Raw genomic sequence first — 18,557 nt, forward strand, 5'->3', positions numbered from 1 at the left:
GTAGAGATGGGGTTTCGCCACGTTGGCCAGGCTGGTTTCAAACTCCTGACCTCAGGTGATCCACCCGCCTCGGCCTCCCAAAGTGCTGGGATTACAGGCCTGAGCCACTGTGCCTGGCCCAAAACCATGAACTACTTAGGTATAACTTAAAAAACAAAAACCAACAAAATAGAAACCACTCAAACTGCATTCTCTCCCTCTTCCTCTACCACAGGAAGAGAAGAATGATCATCAATGGCAAATGGCAGTTGCGGCCAACCAACACCAGGAGCCAGCTTCGCGCTTAGGAGAGAATGCTGAGCCTTTGCCTTGTGGTTTCCGGTGCTCTACACATTCACAGAAGCTTCTCTAGTAACAAACTATAGAGATGATTGCTGAAAGTATAATTTTGGTATACTTTTTTTTTTATGTGCAAGTTCTCTAAGCTGAAAGCCACAAAACCTGGGTGAAATAAATTTTTAAAAAGATGTAAACAAATGGAGAGACACAGTGTCTTCATGGTTTGGAAGACTCATTATTTTTAAGATATTGACTCTCCCAGCAAGGCATGGTGGTTCATGCCTATAATCCTAGCACTTTGGGAGGCCGAGGTGGGTGGATCACCTGAGGTTAGGACTTTGAGACCAGCCTGGCCAACATGGCGAAACCCCGTCTCTACTAAAAATACAAAAAAATTAGCCAGGCGCCTGTAATCCCAGCTACTGAGGAGCCTGAGGCAGGAGAATCACTTGAACTCGGGAGGCGGAGGTTGTGGTGAGCCAAGATCATGCCAATGCACTCCAGCCTGGGCAATAAGAGTGAGACTCCATCTCAAAAAAAAAAAAAAAAAAAAAAGATATTATTGACTTTCCCTAAACTGATCTATAGATTCAATGCAATACAAAATTAAAAATCACTGCAGGATTTTTGTAGAAGTAAACAAGTTGATTCTAAAATTTACATAGAAAGGCAAAAGAACTATAATAACCAAAACAATTTTGAAAAAGAAGATCAACATTGAAGGACTAACATGGCTTACAAGACCTATTATAAAGCTAAAATAATCAAGACAGTATAGTATTGGTGAAAGGATACAGTCCAGAAATAGCAATTCAATGGAGATAAAAAGTTTTCACAATGGTACTGGAATAACTGGGTATCCATATTCCAAAAAATTAACATTGGCCCATATAACTTATAAAAATCAACTCAAAATAAATCATAGACCTAAATACACAAGCTAGAAGTGTAAACTTCTAGAAGAAAATATAGGAGAATATCTTTGTGAACTTAGGCAAAGATTTCTTAGCTGTGATATCAAAAGTACCATCCATAAAATAAAAAGCTGATAAATTAGCCTTCAGCAAAATTGAAAACTCTGATCTTCAAGAGATACTCTTAAGAGATGAAAAGACAACCCCAGACTGGGAGAAAATATCTGCAAATCATATGTGGTAACACCCATATCCAGAATATATAATAAACTTGTAAAACATTTGAACAGATACTAAGCCAAATGGCAAATAAGCACAAAAAAAGATGCTCAATGTCATTAGTTGTTAGAAAAATGCAAATTAAAACCACAATTAGTCTGGGCACGGTGGCTCACGCCTGTAATCCCAGCACTTTGGGAGGCTGAGGCCAGTGGATCACCTGAGACCAGACTGCTCAACATGGCGAAACCCTGTTTCTACTAAAAATACAAAAAATTAGCCGGGCCTGGTGGTGCGTATCTGTAATCCTGGCTATTCAGGAGGCTGAGGCAGGAGAATCACTTGAACCCAGGAGGCGGAGGCTGCAGTGAGCTGAGATTGCACCACTGCACTCCAGCCTGGGCAACAGAGCAGATTTCGTCTCAAAAAAATCCAAACAAATAAACAAACAAACAAACAAAAAACCACACAATTAAATGCCACTACACTTTTTTTTAGAATGGCTAAAAATTTAAAAAATATGTCTATACATACTTATATGCATACATATTTACAAGCATACACACACACACACACACACACACACACACACACACAGACACACACACATACACTAAGTTCTGGCCTGGATGCAGATCACCTGGTGGTCAGAATGCAAAATGATAAAGCCACTTTGGGAAATCGTTTGACAGTTTTTCTTATAAAGTTAAGCTTATACTTACCATACAACACAGTAATCCTACTACTTGGTATTAGCTAAATGCAACAAAAATTTATGTTCACACAAAAACCTGTATGAGATTGTTTGCAGTAGCTTTATTCATAATTGTCAAAAACTAGAAAAACCCAAATGCCCTTCAACAAAATTAACTATCCACACCAAAAAACACTACCCAACAAGAACACTAGAGAGACTATAACATAGACAAATCTCCAATGAATTAGCTAAGTGAAAGAAGCCAGACTCAAAGGCTGTATAGGTTATGATTCCATTTATATGACCCTGGAACAGACAAAACAACAGGAACAGAGAACAGAACAGTGGTTGCCAGGGACTGGGAGATGGAGAGGGGTTGATTATGGGTGGAGTGACTTTATTGCCTGATGGAACTGTTCTATGTCTTGACTGCAGTGCTCACGGTTGTATACATTTGTCAAAACCCATAGAACTGGACACCAAAAAGGATGTTTCATAGAATGCAAATTATACCTTATTTTAAAATGAAAAAAAGGGGCAAATTATGTAGTGTAAATCAAGGAGGGGCTGTTTACTTTCAACAATTATATGTAGTTCACACTTCAAACTGCTTTCACCACCCAGTCATCTCTAAATTTCCATACAACTCCATAGGCCTCAGTTAAATCATCTGAAAATGAAGATAGTAATAGTATCTACCACATAGTTAGGAATAAATGAAATAACATAGATAGAGTGTTTAGAGCAGTGCTGACATATAATAAGAATTCAATAAATGCTGCCTGCTATTTCTACTGCCACTACAATGACTATTTTACTACCTTTGTTGTTGATGTTGCCTAACCTACTTTTCCCAAGATTTTACATACACTCAAATATATTCCCAAGATTTTACATATACTCATAATACTCATATTCATGCCATAGCAGTAAATAAAGTATGATTAAGGAGGAAAAAGTGAATGAATAAATATGATCTCCTTACCTCTGAACATTTTTCCCCTGATTTTTAGCATATTACTATCTACATAAACCATCCCCTCCTATTACAGTACTAGCACAAAGATATTTCTTTTTACTCAGTCAGGGGAGTTGTATCAGGAGAGGAAGAGCTAATTTGGTCTTTTTCTAAAATCCTTAAGTTCTCGTATCATCTTTGTTCCTGTCTGGGTGACTTTAGAATCAATGCTTTTCTAAAATTAAAGTTTGTAAATAAAGAGTAGAAGTAAAAATAACATGTGATCTTCACTTCTTCAATGGTCAAATGAATGTCAATATTATGCAAAGCTTCTGGAATAACACTCCATCATTATATTAATAAGAGTTAGGCTACATCGAAAATAAGTACAGTTTTCAAGATAAATTCCTTTAAAAATCACAGATAGCTCCAATAAGAAAATTAATTTGAAAAACGTTGAATAAAGGGTAAAGAGAGTGATACAATCTATGCCAGATGTTATGGCACTGGCGCATCTATTGCAGACTTTTATCTTTGACACTTTTTTTATCTATAGAATCTTTTCCATCATCTCTAACTTACCCTCACCTTGCCTTGCCTTCATTCTATAAGACACAGTTTGGAATGTCCTTTACTCCAATACCAAGAGGGGTTGGCCTGTATGGTTCCCCCATCCCACTCTCCCAATCCATATTTGCTTGGTGCACAGGTGGATGCTGGATCAACAATGGGTCAACTGAAGATACTGTCCTGGGAATTTGGAATTGGGCTGACCCATAAGAAAGATATATAAAATTCAACTGTAATGAGGCAACTTTAGAAAGCCTGTCTACAAAAAAAGAAAAATAAATATAGATTTACAGAAAATACAGATAAGACAGACAAACAGGGTGAAAGTATTCCCTCAGTTCTTGATGGTTTTCCATTTCTTATTTCTAATTCCTTCCTATAAGATGGCGCATTTTTGTCTTTGGGTTCCATGACTAAAATAAATTTCTTCTTTTTCCTTAAGTGAAGTCAAGTTGGTTTTGTTTAACGCACCTATCATATTAAAACAACAAATCTTCCACCATTTTTAACCTCTGGGAATGTGTCTCATGCCTACAGATCTACTAGGTCAGTTCACTAGATCAATACTCACAGTTCCTGGAATTTGACTTTTCTCCTCTTTTCATCTAGGTACATACAGTAGCATATGATGCTACACTGCCACAAAATACTTAATAGATTCCATAATAAAATAACACATATTTATAGCTTATAACATATTAAAACTAATGATTCATCTTCAGTAAAATAAATTAGTACCCATATTAATACTACAATTTCCAAGTTCTAAGAAATGAATTTATTTTAAATAAAAGATAATATAAATGTTGTATATGTCAAAACAATCTACCTATAATATGACTGTCAGGTAAAATACAGTATCCCAGTTAAATTTAAAATTCAGATAAACCACAGATAATTTTTAGTAAGTATGCCCCAAATACCACATGGGGGATTTACATGACATAACAAATCACTTTTAAGATAATAAATTCTTTTTGTTCTTTTTATTTGATAAATCCAGACCCAGGGGTAAAAGAATTAATTCAGATCACTCTTACCTGTGCTTTGTGTGATGTTTTCTCTAGGAATATCAACCAACCACAAAATCCGATCACTGAACTTGAATAAAGAAGACATCAGAAAACAATGTTTTACAACATGAATAACAACACATCACATTCTATGCTATATTTTTAAAAGAGAATTAAACAAAAACATCCAATGCATATACCTTTTACCTAGAAATTTCACTCTTAGGAATTTTTCCTACATTATGCTCACATATGTGTGAAATAAAATGTGTTCAAGAATAATTTTGCATCACTGTAATGGCTGAACATTGGAAATAATGAAAATATTCATCAGTTATGTATAATATAGCCACATAGTGGAACTCTGTACAGCCAAGCTTATGTAGCACATAGTTGAAGTATTTACTCATGACATGTCAGAGACAGAGCTTGAGGTTGACAGAGCATTTGGGATATTAAGAGGAAAATTCCAGGAATAAGGAAACTGCAAGAATGGTAATCTCTGAGATTTAAATATAAACTGTGACCAAATTCTTGGGCAATAAAGGTGCAAAGGACACCCCCAGAAGACCAGTTTGTAAAAACTAGCAGTGCAAGCTAAAAGAATTGAGTAGCGATTTCAGCTGCCAAAACCACAGGTAAGATCTTAGAGACGTGTGGTACAATTCTTCTTTTGAAGAAATAATGGCTGGAAACATTCCAAATTTGCTAAACTTACAATTCAAGAAGCCCAGGGAACCTTACTTGGGTAAATCCAAAGAGAAAAATCTTAAAAGCATCCAGAGAAAAATAACATATTACATACAGGAGACAATCGTAAAATTAACAGCTGACTTCTTATTCAGAAGCAAAGGTGTCAGATGACATTAGTATAAAATATTCAAAATGCTGAAATAAAGTGAAGTCAACCAGAAATTTTATATTTGACAAAACTATGCTTCAAAATTTCAGTTGACCACTAAAAACCTGTTAGATCTTACAAACAAGTTTAGCAAGGCTGCAGGATACTAGATCAACATATAAAAATCAATTATTATATTTCTATGTACTTGCAGTGAACAATCTGAAAATGATATTAAGAAAGCAATTCCCTTTAAAACATAAAAAAGAATAAAATATTAGAAATAAATTTAACAAAAGAAGTATAAAACTTATACTCTGAAAACATAAAACATTGTTGAAAGAAATTAAAGATCTAAATAAATGGAGAGACATCCACCCTGTTCATAGATTGGAAGACTTAATATTAGTAAAATGGCAATACTACCCAAATGTATCTACAGATTCAATACAGTCCTTATCAGAATCCCAGATGGCTACTTTGTAGAAATTGGCAAGCTTATCCTAAAATTCATATTATTTTATGTAACTCAGACTAGCAAAAATAATCTTGAAAAAGAACAAAGTTAGAAGATTCATGCTTCCTGATTTCAAACTGTAGTACAAAGCAACAATATCAAGACAATATGATATTAGCATAAAGATAGACATGTGGATCAATGCAATAAAATTGAGAATCCAGAAATAAACTGTCCCATTTATGGTAAACTTATTTTCAACAAAAGTGCCAAAACAATTCAATAGAAGAATAATAGTCTTTTCTACAAGTCATGCTAGGATGGCTGGATATCCACATGCAAAAGAATGAGTAAGGACCCTTATCTCACATCAAATACAAAAATGAACTCAAAATGGATCCAAGATCTAAATGTAGAAGGTAAATTATCAACCTCCTAGAAGAAAACATGTGGGATAAAATTTCATAACCTTGAGTCAGGCAATGGTTTTCTACACATGACACCAAAAGCACAAGCAACAAGAGAAAAAATAGATACAGCCGACTTCATTAAGAAAAACTTCTGTGTATCAAAGGACACTATAAAGAAAGTGAAAAGACAACGCATAGAATGAGAGAAAATATTTGCAAATCATATGTCTGATAAGAGACTTGTATCTAGAATCTATACAGAGCTTTTACAAATCAAAAACACGAATACCCAAACTAAAAATGGGCATATAATTTGAATAGATATTTCTCCAAAGAATGTATTCAAGGGACTAATAAGTACATGAAAAGATACTCAACATCATTAGTCATTTGGGAAATTAAAATCAAAATGATAATGAGATAGCACTTTATACCTACTAGGATGGTTATTTTAAAAAAGATAAATAAAGGCCAGGCATGATGGCTCATGCCTGTAATCCCAGCACTTTGGGAGGCCGAGGCTGGCGGATCACAAGGTCAGGAGATCAAGACCATCCTGGCTAACAAGGTGAAACCCTGTTCTCTACTAAAAATACAAAAAATTAGCCAGGTTTGGTGGCGGATGCCTGTAGTCCCAGCTACTCTGGAGGCTGAGGCAGGAGAATGGCGTGAACCCGGGAGGCAGAGCTTGCAGTGAGCCGAGATCGCACCACTGCACTCCAGCCTGGGTGACAGAACGAGACTCTGTCTAAAAAAAAAAAAAAAAAAGACAAATAAAACCAAGCCTTGGTAAGGATGTGGAGAGACGGGAACCCTAACCCAGGTGTGCTGGTGTGCACTTGTAGTCCTGGCTACTCAGGAGGCTGAGGCAGAACTTCTGGGCACTTTAGCCCAGGAGTTCAAATCCTGCCTGGGCAACACAGCAAGACCCTGTCTCTAAACAAAAAAGAAAGAAAGAAAAGAAATTGGAATTCTAACAAGCTGCTAGTGAGAATGTAAAATAGTACAACCACTTTAGAAAACAGTCTGGCATTTTCTCAAAAGGTCAAACATGGAGTTATCATATGATCCATCAATTCCATCCCTGGCCATGTAGCTAAGAAAAATGAAAATATATTTCCACACAAAAATTTTCACACAAATGTTCACAGCAGCATTATTCAGAAGAGCCAAAAAGTGGGAATAGCCCAAAGGTTCATCAACTGATAAATGGATAAACAAAATGTGGTATTTATACAATGCGATATTATTTGACCATATTATGCTAACTGAAACATATGCTAACTGAAAGAAGCCAGTCATGAACACTACATATATATGTTTCATTTACATAAAATGTTCAGAGTTAGAAAATCTATAGAAACAGAAAGATTAGTGGTTGTCTAGGGCTGGGGAGTGGAGGGGGGATTGGGAGTGACTGCTAATAGTTATAGATTGTCACTTTCATCACTTTTGGAGTGACTAAAGTATTCTGGAATTAGTAGTGATGGTTGCACAACTCTATGAATATACTAAAAACTATTTAAGTGCACACTTTAAATGAGTGAACTGTATGGAATTATATCTTAATAAAGTTGTTGCCAAAAAAGAGGTGAAATAAAGACATTTTTAGAAGGAAAAAACCCCAGAGAATTATTTGCCAGCAGTTCTGCACTGTAAGAAATGCTAAAAGAAATTGACATCAGATGGCAACTTACATCTACAGGAAGGAATGAAGGACAGTATAAATAATAAATATGTAGGTAAAGGGTACAAATAAGTATTTCTTCTTCTTTAATTTATTTAAAAATATATGACTGTTTAAAGCAAAAAGTGTAACACTATCAGTGGGCTTAAAACATACATAGATGTAATATTACTCAGCTACCTATTTTTTAAAAAATACATCCTATAAGGAAGAGTATGCTTCTTGTTAATAACATATCACAGAGTAAGATAAAATGTAATTACCAACGTTAAATTAAAGTGGAAGATGCCATTATATGTACTATTCATGATTCCCAAGCTGGGAGCAAGTCCTCCTGATGTGAACACACTTAGCATTGCTTTTGATGCAATTTCATTTTCAGTTTGGAAGAAACACTGGATTTTCTTTAGGAAAGCAAGAAAAAAAAAAACAACTAATAACCACTTGATGCAGACACACAAGTTAGTTAATCTAAAAGTGATTAGTAATTCCAGTCTCTAGTTAGGAAAAAATATATATATTTATACAAGTATACTTTCAGAACTCAGTAACCTATTATGCTAGCATCATAAAGGTTTCATCTTAATAATAATCTTTTCTATCATAGAAATGGTCATTATTATTACATGTAGTAAACATAGACTCAAAGCAATATGTTATCACAAATAGAAATTCCAATTTTATTAAAATTGTTATTTTGTGTCTAAATAAAAAAGGAAGCAACTATATAAAGCAAAGCCTATTTTACTGCATCTTTACTGGATATTTCCTAGTTTTGAGAAGGCATATGAAAATGTAGCGATCAGAAATGGTGGATTTTCCTGAAAACTAACATGAGACAGATACCAAGAGCTTTATTTCAATTAATTCTCCTAGTACTTAAGATCGCTTTGGGCAAGTTCCCTATCTGAGTTTTAGTTTCCCTAATCTAAAAAATGGGGAAATACATTCATTCCAAAAATATCTACTGAGCCCTTCCTATGAATGGTGCTAGGAATGTAGATGTGAATAAAACAGACAGAACTCTCTGCCCCTGTGGAATTAACATTCTAATGGAGATTGGCAAGTAGACAAACTGGATGGAGAGATTGTTGGATGGATTGGTAGAGAATGAAGGAAAAGATAGAAAAAATGAAATAAATATAGAATACATTATAAGAACGAGGCAGGGAAGGGAGGTTGAGAGTGCAGGAGTTTGGGAAGGCAGTACAATTTTTCACAGGGTTATTAGCGAATAAAAAACAATATTTTCCTCACAGAAGATTAAATGTATAGATTAAATGTCATAATGAACATTAAACTTTTTTTTAAAATGCCTGATACACATAAACTCTTTATAAACGTTAGCTATCACTTCTAATACTACTGCTGCTAGAACTACTATACTACAACTATCCAAAAAGTAGGTTATAATTCCCTTTTTAGAAGAAGAACTGAGGGTTAGAGAGTTTAGGTAACCTGCCCCAGGACACACAGACCATAAATGGCAGAACCAAGACTGGACCCCAGCTCTGTAAGTCCGTCTTCTTCCAAAGCCCATACTTTTTCCATAACATATAACAACAAATCAGAAATGCATTTTTAGCTCAGAGAGCATACACTTCTCAATAGTTGTATATACAAAGCTTAAATATATATTTAAGCATATCAAGAGGGAATTGTGGCCTAAGTCAAAGCAGGCTTAGGAATACATGCATTTGCTCTCATGGAGTCTTTTTCTTTGTTTTTATTATATATATTTATCATAGATTTTTAGACAATCTGTGCATTTTTTATTAATGTATATTTTTGTTAGTATTTGCTGCATGATCTTGATAGCATGCTTTATTTTACTCCGTTGTGTGTGTTTTTAAAAAGTCTCCCATTATTTGAATCAAAGGATCATATCATTCCTTACCCAAAATGACAACTTCAATGTGGTACTTGTTATACAAAGGCAAGACAGATTTTCAAGGTCATGTGAGGTAGCTTTCCTTCTCTAATAGGCTACATCTGTCAGACTTCAAAAGGACAAATCAACTCCACTAAAAAGGGGAGGGAGGAGGCATCATTTTAAAAAAGAAAGAATAAAAGCAAAAACACCCAGGATGCTCTATGGCTAAGTGAAGTATTTTACCTGCTCCAAGTAGACATACACTAGCAAAGATAGAAAAAATTATTATTTATATAGAATTTTCCCTCCCCAAGACTGAACATAGTAGAGGGTATTTGGAAAGAATACAATGCTATTGGTTTTACACATGGATTTTAAAGGAACGTGAAGGGTTATAACACATGCTATTAGTGGACCTTACCAAGTTTTCTAAGAAAAGATACAACTTGATTATTTCATTCTCTTGAGGGAACCCTTTGTTAGAACATGCAAAGCGTTTCTCTGTATCATCTAAATAATAAAAAAAATACATATATTAGATCACTGATAGAAGACTGTCCATAAAAAGTACCATGTTTCTAAAACTGACAAAATATTTTTAAGGAATAAGAATTATAATTGCACATTTTAAATTCACTTTAGGTAAAATTCAAATTTTCCACCTTGTTTTTCTTTTTACACATATGCTATAAGGTATGTTTAGAAACGGAAGGTTTGGCTGAAGCACTAATATAACTCATGCTAGACCATGACACAAAATTTTTAGAGGTAGACAAAAACCAGTTCTTGACACTTCAACGCCTCACCTTGAGGGTATAAAAGGATCCAGAATCAGCAACTGCAGAGAAAATTTGTGTTTTGATAGAGAGGTACTGAATGAAGATGTTAGGAGACGGACCCCTTCTACTTACTTACCTTGTGTCTGAGGCAAGAGGGTCTGTTGGGCACACTAAAAAAAGTAACATGTATCCCTGCAGTTTGGGGCACAAACTCAGACTCCTGCTTAGAAAATCTAGAAGGCAAGAGATGATTTGGTGGAGAGAACAGGATACGGTTTGTTGAGAAAGAGATGGGTACGTTAATGACACAGACAGAAGACAGAAATACTGGGTAGAAGAGGCAAAGGTCCCATCCTCAAGCCTGGAAACCCACAGCCCTAATGAAAACAGGCATTTCTGTTTTCGTGCCCAGAAGTTGCCTTTTGGCCCACCATGGCCCCTATCCTATACCCATATAAACCCCAGACCCCAGGCCTCAGAGCAGACTAGTAGGTAAGCAAGGATATGAACAGAAGAGCAAAAGAACAGCAGAGAGAAGAGAAGGAGCATCTAAATGCCAAGAGGAGCTCCTCTGGGGATGGTCGGAGAGGCCAAAATCCAGGGGAAGATCATCTTCCCACACCATCCCCCTTCTAGGTAGCCATCTGTCCTGCTGAGAGACACCTCAGGCCATTCAGTAAAACCCCTGCATTCATCCTTCAAGTCCATGTGCAAACTGATTATTCCTGGATGCTGGACAAGGACCTGGGTACCAAGAAGGCACTGAGCTGGTAAACACTTAAACCGTCCGTGGACAGCAAGGCTAAGATGGTGCACTGTAACACACACCCACTTGGGTTTCAGGAGTCACAGGCTCCCACCCGTGGATGCTGCCATGGAGCCAGAGCCCAGGCGTGCTCGTCCGGCTCCTGCACCTGCCCATCTGCATGCTCCCCATCCCGTAAGGGGTTCGAGTGCCAGAACAGCCACACCTCTGTATGTCCTGCAAGAGGGGCCAGGGAACTCTCCCGTTTCATTAAGAGTCCTGCACAACCAAAATTTACTGGGGCAAAAGATGGATGAATGCTTCCTGTGGTCCAGATATAGGTCACTGGTGAAAAAGAACTAGCTTAGGGTCATCTAGGTTCCTGTCCTCAAAGGTCTCTCTGAGCGGCAAATGGCTCTCAGCAAAAAGAATTTGAAGGCATAGACAAAGAAATAAGTGACCAGTGGGAATGAAGAAGTTTTTGCCTTTGTTAGAAGAACTGTAGATGAGAGATTCCCAGTAATGTGAGGGAGGGGAAGGGGCTATGAAGGACTCATTCAAGAGCCCAGAGATCAAGGGTCAGCTTTACACATCTGCTGGAACTTGAAAGTGCAAATGTCAGATGGTCCCCTCAGAACCAGCTAGGGCAGAACTGTGCTTTCCCTCCCACTTCTCCCTCCCTTTCTACAACGCTGGAGCAGGAAGGGTCAAAACCTAAAGTTGATGAGACAATGAAAAGGAATCTAAACACTAAGTGGAGAGAAGGAAAAGTTGACCTTAGCTTTTCTTCCTCACCTATAGGCTTCCCACCAGCACAGGCCCAGATAGGGAACAGGGAAGAAGCTTCAATTATAAAATAAGAGTTAAATTTGACTTGTACATGGGCTTGGATATCTTAATTACAACAATTACAATGCAAAAGTGTTTTAAAATTTCAAATGCTCAGAGAACTGATTTTTGGCTCAAGGGGAATATGTGCAGGTTTGTTACAAAAGTATATTTTGTATGCTAAGTTTTGGCGTAGAAATGAATCTGTCTCCCAGGTAGTGAGCACAGTGCCCTCCCTGATCCATTTCTCCTGTCCCTCATATTCCCCAGAGTTTATTGTTCTAGGAGAACTGTGTGAATCATCCAATTGTAACCAAAAAAATCTTGGTTCTGGCCCAAATATTCATCCAGTGACAGAGGAAGAACCATGCCAAAGATTGGATTTAAATAGGAGGCAAAAATAAATTTAATTTATAATTGAACGTTACTCATTCTGTTTGTATAATGTAATGATTTCAATGCTATTCTTGAAATTCTATAAGTAAACATATCTTTACAAATATCACAAATATGCAAAATATACAAATATTTCTGGAGGTTATAATGTTAAACAGTTTTCAAAGTACTTTCAACTTATGCAGTCACTTTGCCCATACTTGACAATGCTATCAGACCTATTTTTTAAAGCTATAATTTGATTGTGAAGTCCAAATCACTTCTCTGTTTAAAAATCTTCACTGACACACCCTTACCTCATGAATTAAACTTCTTAAATGGTGAGACACTAAACAGAAGGAAACTAACTCCTTTGAATAACATACTCTGAGCCATTAAGGCTCAAATGGGTTGAGCTGGATTTAGATGTTATTTTATGAAATTCCCACAATACCTTGTGCCACATATATTACTGTCTCCTCTTTAAAGAAGAGGAAATCAAGCTCAAACGTCATATAACTAACAACAGTGGGCCAGACTGGAACCAAGTTGTTTCTCTAAGGGACATCCTCTCTTTATCCCGCTAGACACTCTTTCAATAGTTAAGCCCATTTTTTCAGTCTCCCCTGCAGACAACCTTGTCTATCACCTCTGAAATGCATGGGCTTCTCTCTACTTCATTTTCTGCCTCAAATTTTAATACATTTTAAGATCCAGTTCAAATAGAAATTTGTTTTTGTTTGTTTGATATAGGGTGTTGCTCTGTCACCCAGGCTGGAGTGTAGTGGAGTGATCTTGGCTCACTGCAACTTCTGCCTCCTGGGGCTCAAGTGATCTTCCCACCTCAGCCTCCTGAGTAGCTGGGACTGCAGGTGAGCACCATCACACCTGGCTAAATTTTGTATTTTTTATAGAGAAGAGGTTTTGCCATGTTGCCCAGGCTGGTCTCCAACTCCTGGGCTCAAGGTATCCTCCTGTCTCAGCCTCCCAAAGTGCTGGGATTACAGGTGTGAGCCACTGCACCTGGCCAAAGAGTTTTTTCTAACACTTGTCTCATTGCAACTAATTGATTTGTCCTCTGCACTTTGGTATCATTTTGTGAATTATGTACTCATATCAACAGGATCTTCTGGGCTTGGGTGGTAAAAACAGAGGCAGAGATACTGTGAGGAGAGACAGAGAAACAATTTCAAACTTTTCTAACTTTCCCTCCACGGACTGCTTTGCCTAGAAATTCTCAGATTATAGAGTTTGCTAGATTCTGTTATAATAATAAAACACAGAAAATTACTCTTTCGCAAGCTTCTAAAGGAAAGATGTGCCAGAGAAGTTATACTTTCAACAGCATGTGACTTCTTCAACAAGAATCATGATATAAAGGGAAACCACACAAGTGTAACCACCAATGGAATGCCTGCTCTGACTACCATAAAAATCCACTGTGGGACAAACGTACAGAAAAAAATGCCATTTATGAAATTCATTCATTGCCCTATTCACAGTTATACAACCACAACAGTCCCCCTTTTTCTGTGATCTCACTTTCCACAGTTTCAGTTACCTGTAGCCAACCATAGTCTAAAAACATAAAGTGGAAACTTTCAGAAATAAGCAATTTGTAAGTTTTACATTGTGCACTGTTCTGAGCAGTGTGATAAAATCTCATGCCATCGGCCAGGTGTGGTGGCTCATGCCTGTAATCTCAGCACTTTGGGAGGCTGAGGCAGGTGAATCACGAGGTCAGGAGTTCAAGACCAGCCTGGCCAAGATGGGTGAAACCCCATCTCTACTAAAAATACAAAAATTAGCCAGGCGTGGTGGTGGGCACCTGTAATCCCAGGTACTCGGGATATTAGAAGCCTCTAGACCAGAGTATAATTGACAATATTGGGAAACAATTGGAAGATAAGATAAAGAAGAAATACTAAAAGAAAAATTTTTTACTGTAAATAAGGAAGAGACACAAATAAGAACTCCTGAGAAGGAAATAGAGAGTAAGATGGTCTGAAACTTACCTTTATTATATACTATTCCTGATGAAAATTCAAATATGTTCAAAAGCAAAACTGAAACATATATAAGTGGCGATTCCATCTGTTGGAATAAATAAGAATTATTTTCACTCAATTTCTGAACATATTTTTGAATTCCTTTTGCTATAAACAACTACAAAGTAGTAAAGAAATAATCTCAATATTCTTAATATTTCACACTGTGTGACAAAAGCAGACAACACAACAGTTGCCTAAACTCTAAATTTACTCCCTACTTGGTATTAAAGGTAAATTTATAGGTATAATTATTACAAACTAGAAAAAGAGATGTGGCTCAGGTTTTCCTTCAGTAGGTAACCTTTAGAGAGGTGAGATCAGTTACACAGCTATGTAAAACAGAGCCTGAACTGATGAAGACTCTGAGGATGATACAGCTGTAACTTAATCTAATATTTTGACAACGTTGCTTTTGGGGAAGACAATTCACATGGTCCTGAGTTTCCCTGCACATTCTCGTTGAGTGTGCCAAGAATGCAAGGCCCTGGATGGTGTTCATCTCAGGCTTGTGTTTTGTAGCCACCAGCCTTGAGGGATGAGGTAAGGCACCCTGGACAACAGCAGGCTTGTTTCCATGGTGAATTGCTTAATCTCACTGTACCTCTCCTGTAATGCACTCCACTACGTGTATAAGCATCCATTATGGGCTCAATTTTCTACCCTCAAAATTCTGAAGTTGAAATCCTAACCACCCTTACCTCAGAAGGCAATCATGTTTGGAGATAGGATTTTTAAACAGGTGATGAAGTGAAAATGAAGTCATTAGGGTGGGCCCTCATCCAATAGGACTGGTGTCCTCAGAGAAGAGGAAATTTGGACATAGGCAGGGTGAAGTGAAGACACAGAGGGAAGACATTCAGAGGGAAGATGAAGGGAAGACACAGGAAGAAGACAGCCAGCCACCTATAAACTCAGGAGAGACGCATGAACAGTTCCTTCCTCATGGCCCTCAGAAGGAATTAACCCTACAGACACCTTGATCTCAGATTTCTAGCCTCCAGAACTGTGAGAAAATAAATTTCTGTTGTTTAAGCCACCCAGTGTATGGGCCTTTGTTATGGCAGCCCTAGAAAACTAACACAGCATCCATGATGAATTTCACCTCTAAGGAACTTGGGGGACAGGAGGTACTGGAGTGAGCAACCTGTGGACACTCTGGCTACTGCTTTTGCTATTAGTAATAAAGTCCTTCGTCTCTGACCTAGGAGTCTTGTGTCTTTTGCCAGCATCCAAGAAAACAGAAACATACTAATTTGCCAACTCTAAGTGGAATAAAATCTCAGAACTTTGTGCAGTTCCTGACAACTGCTGAGTAAATTAAATGTAACTGGTGTTTTTCCTTCATCAAAACTGACTTGCTTATTAAATACATTTAATTGACAATAGAAAGCTCAAACAGTTTGATTTTTTTGAATTCATTCTTATCACATTAACAGGGGAGAACTGAAGGTTTTTAGTGCATTTTTAAAAATCATCTGAGAAAACAACTTGTTTTCACAAGGTAAGAGGAAACAAATGGTAGATTAAAATTCTGTCGGCATGGTGCAATGCTCAAGTATATTTTTGGTGTAAGAACGAATTTAACATTAAGTGGAGACATTATCACAGTTAAACTCTGAAAATAGTCCCTTTACCAGAAAAATCTTATATCACTTTGCTAAACATTCAAATTAAATGATACAACACCATTATTAGAATCTTTATGCCTCTTCATGGGTCACCTGTGCAAACTCGAGAGAGTTAGTATGAAGCACGTGGTGGAAATTCTGGTTTTAATGTCAGCAAGCTTGTTCTGCAAGCTTTCTTATCTGCCATCCTGCAAGCTCAAGAATTTCTGCTACCTACTGGTTTCTTTAATTCTTTGGGGCATAGTTCCAGTCTCATTCTTCTTATTTTCCCTTCAATATTACAACTTTTCCTTATTTGATACTATCTTCTTTCAACTTTCAGCTCATAGTTAGAGTAAAAACATAGACTTTAGCCTAAGACGAAGTCTGTCCATCGAAATATTTGATTTTTAGCAAGCTATTTAACTTCTTGGAGTTCATATTCTATTCAGTAAAATGGGGATAACAGGCACTTCACAGTGTTGTTGTGAGAATTAAATGAAAAATACCTTAAAACATCTAACATATTCTATACAGAATAAGCACTTGACAAGTATTACTTCTGAATTCCATATCTCCATACACTGCAGCAACTTCTTTTTCCTCATCACACTCCCCTACTGACCTACTTAGCAGTTAAATTACCCCCAGTTATCATTCCTTTGTAATTATTATAAGTTTTACATAATTACTGGATACAAGTCATGTATCTGGGCATTTTCTCTTCTCTGGCACTAAATAAACATTGGGAATTGCCCCATTGAAGGAAGCTATTTCCTCCCCCAGTTGGTTCATTTATAGTTACTCCATTATTATGGAATAGTGATCACATTATAAATTCATACTCCAGCAGGGTCCTTATTTTAATATTTTTTACTGTAATTACCTCTTTAGGAGATGCGCAACTAGTTGTGTTCTTCTTTTTTATATTTTTTCTCAGTTTTCTTCCATATAGACTGAGAAGAAAGACCCAAAGTCAGGAGCCAAGTTTTCCCTGTTGACTGGCTTAGCACTCTAGTCACCTTTGGTAACAGCCAATCAGCAGCTACCAAGTACAGAAGCATGCTTAGAAAATCTAAAGGACAGGCAGTTGGAATTTCCAACTAACTGCCTCTTTCAGAGCACCACAGGCCATTTTCTTTAAAAACCGATGAGAGGTGGAGGTTCTCCAAACCTTCCATCTTTAATATAGCATTTATCTAGGAAGGATCAGAAACCTACATATGATTATCTATAAAACACTTCAATGATCATACGATCATTGAATGCCTGGGGAAAAACATAAATGCTAAAAGCTCATGCTAACTGCATATAATAAGGTTTAAAAGGAGGCAATCTCTCAAAGGGGAGGAGCTTCATAACTGGGTCTTTAAGGAAGACTGGGACTTAAAAAAAATAGAGAAGGCCTTATTGACAGGTAAACAAGACAAGCAAATACACAAAGCACAAAGTTAGAAATGAGCTGTGGACGCATGGAAACAGTGAGACCAAATGGCATGCCAGTTTGTCCTCCGTATTCATGTTGTGTGACTGTCCTTGATGTGGTTGTATGTGCTCACTAAGGCTGCCTTTGACTGAGTACCGAGTGAGCTGAGCTTGAACCTTTCTGTCTTACCCAGCGCCCTGACTAGTCATGAATGGTCACAGAGGCTGACACATACTTTTTGATAATCATGATAATAAAACGTGTTTTATACTCAGGTTGTCCTTCAGAAGTCCCTTCACATGGCCATGTAAAACCTGCTTTACCCTCATATCCTGAAATATGTCTGGTATCTGGGTTTAATCTATTCCTGGAAGAGCCCGCATCAGAAATATATTTCTCTCACCCTTTCTGGTGACCTTGACCTAAAGAAGAACCTGAAACAGTGTGCAAAACACAACAAAATATATTTCCTTATAAAGACTCAGTTCCCAGAAACTTGGAGCTCTCTTTTTTTGTTGCCTGTTTCCCACTAGGGAAGGCAATAAAGCTTTTATGGAAGAAGATGTAGCTTTCAGTTACCATAGCAACACTGCTACACATTAAAAAAAAGTCTGAGCAATACTGAAGGTACACATTGAGAGCTCTAAAAAGAATGATGAAGCAGGTGACATTTGCCTTCTTTCTCCCCAGCAACCTCTTAGTTTTCTTTTCCTCATTTGCCCCCACATTTTGTTTCCTAACTTACGAAAGAGTAAAGGATCTGTTTTCAATCACAGTCACTGATGAATTACACTTTGATGTGAGTACCAAGACTACTCCCACAGTAGG

At 37.1% G+C, this 18,557-nt stretch overlaps 1 protein-coding gene and 1 non-coding gene across 2 annotated transcripts in view; both read right to left on the minus strand.

Moving 5' to 3' along the window:
- Positions 1–17,346, minus strand: part of CATSPERB (catsper channel auxiliary subunit beta) — a 151,389-nt gene extending 134,043 nt beyond the window's left edge. Inside the window, exons 1-5 of the mRNA NM_024764.4 lie at positions 17,190–17,346; positions 14,661–14,739; positions 10,340–10,428; positions 8,309–8,449; positions 4,678–4,738 (exon numbers count right to left, since the gene is read on the minus strand). Coding sequence (NP_079040.2) covers positions 4,678–4,738; positions 8,309–8,449; positions 10,340–10,428; positions 14,661–14,739 — 370 coding nt within the window. The 5' untranslated portion in view covers positions 17,190–17,346. The remainder of the gene's footprint in view (positions 1–4,677; positions 4,739–8,308; positions 8,450–10,339; positions 10,429–14,660; positions 14,740–17,189) is intronic.
- LOC124903436 (small nucleolar RNA U3) lies at positions 175–390 on the minus strand. Its single transcript, XR_007064414.1, has one exon. It is a non-coding gene; the product is annotated as a small nucleolar RNA U3 (small nucleolar RNA).
- Positions 17,347–18,557: the final 1,211 nt, after the last annotated feature.

The sequence above is a fragment of the Homo sapiens genome, chromosome 14 (genome assembly GCF_000001405.40).
Source record: "Homo sapiens chromosome 14, GRCh38.p14 Primary Assembly".
Classification (NCBI taxonomy): domain Eukaryota; kingdom Metazoa; phylum Chordata; class Mammalia; order Primates; family Hominidae; genus Homo; species Homo sapiens.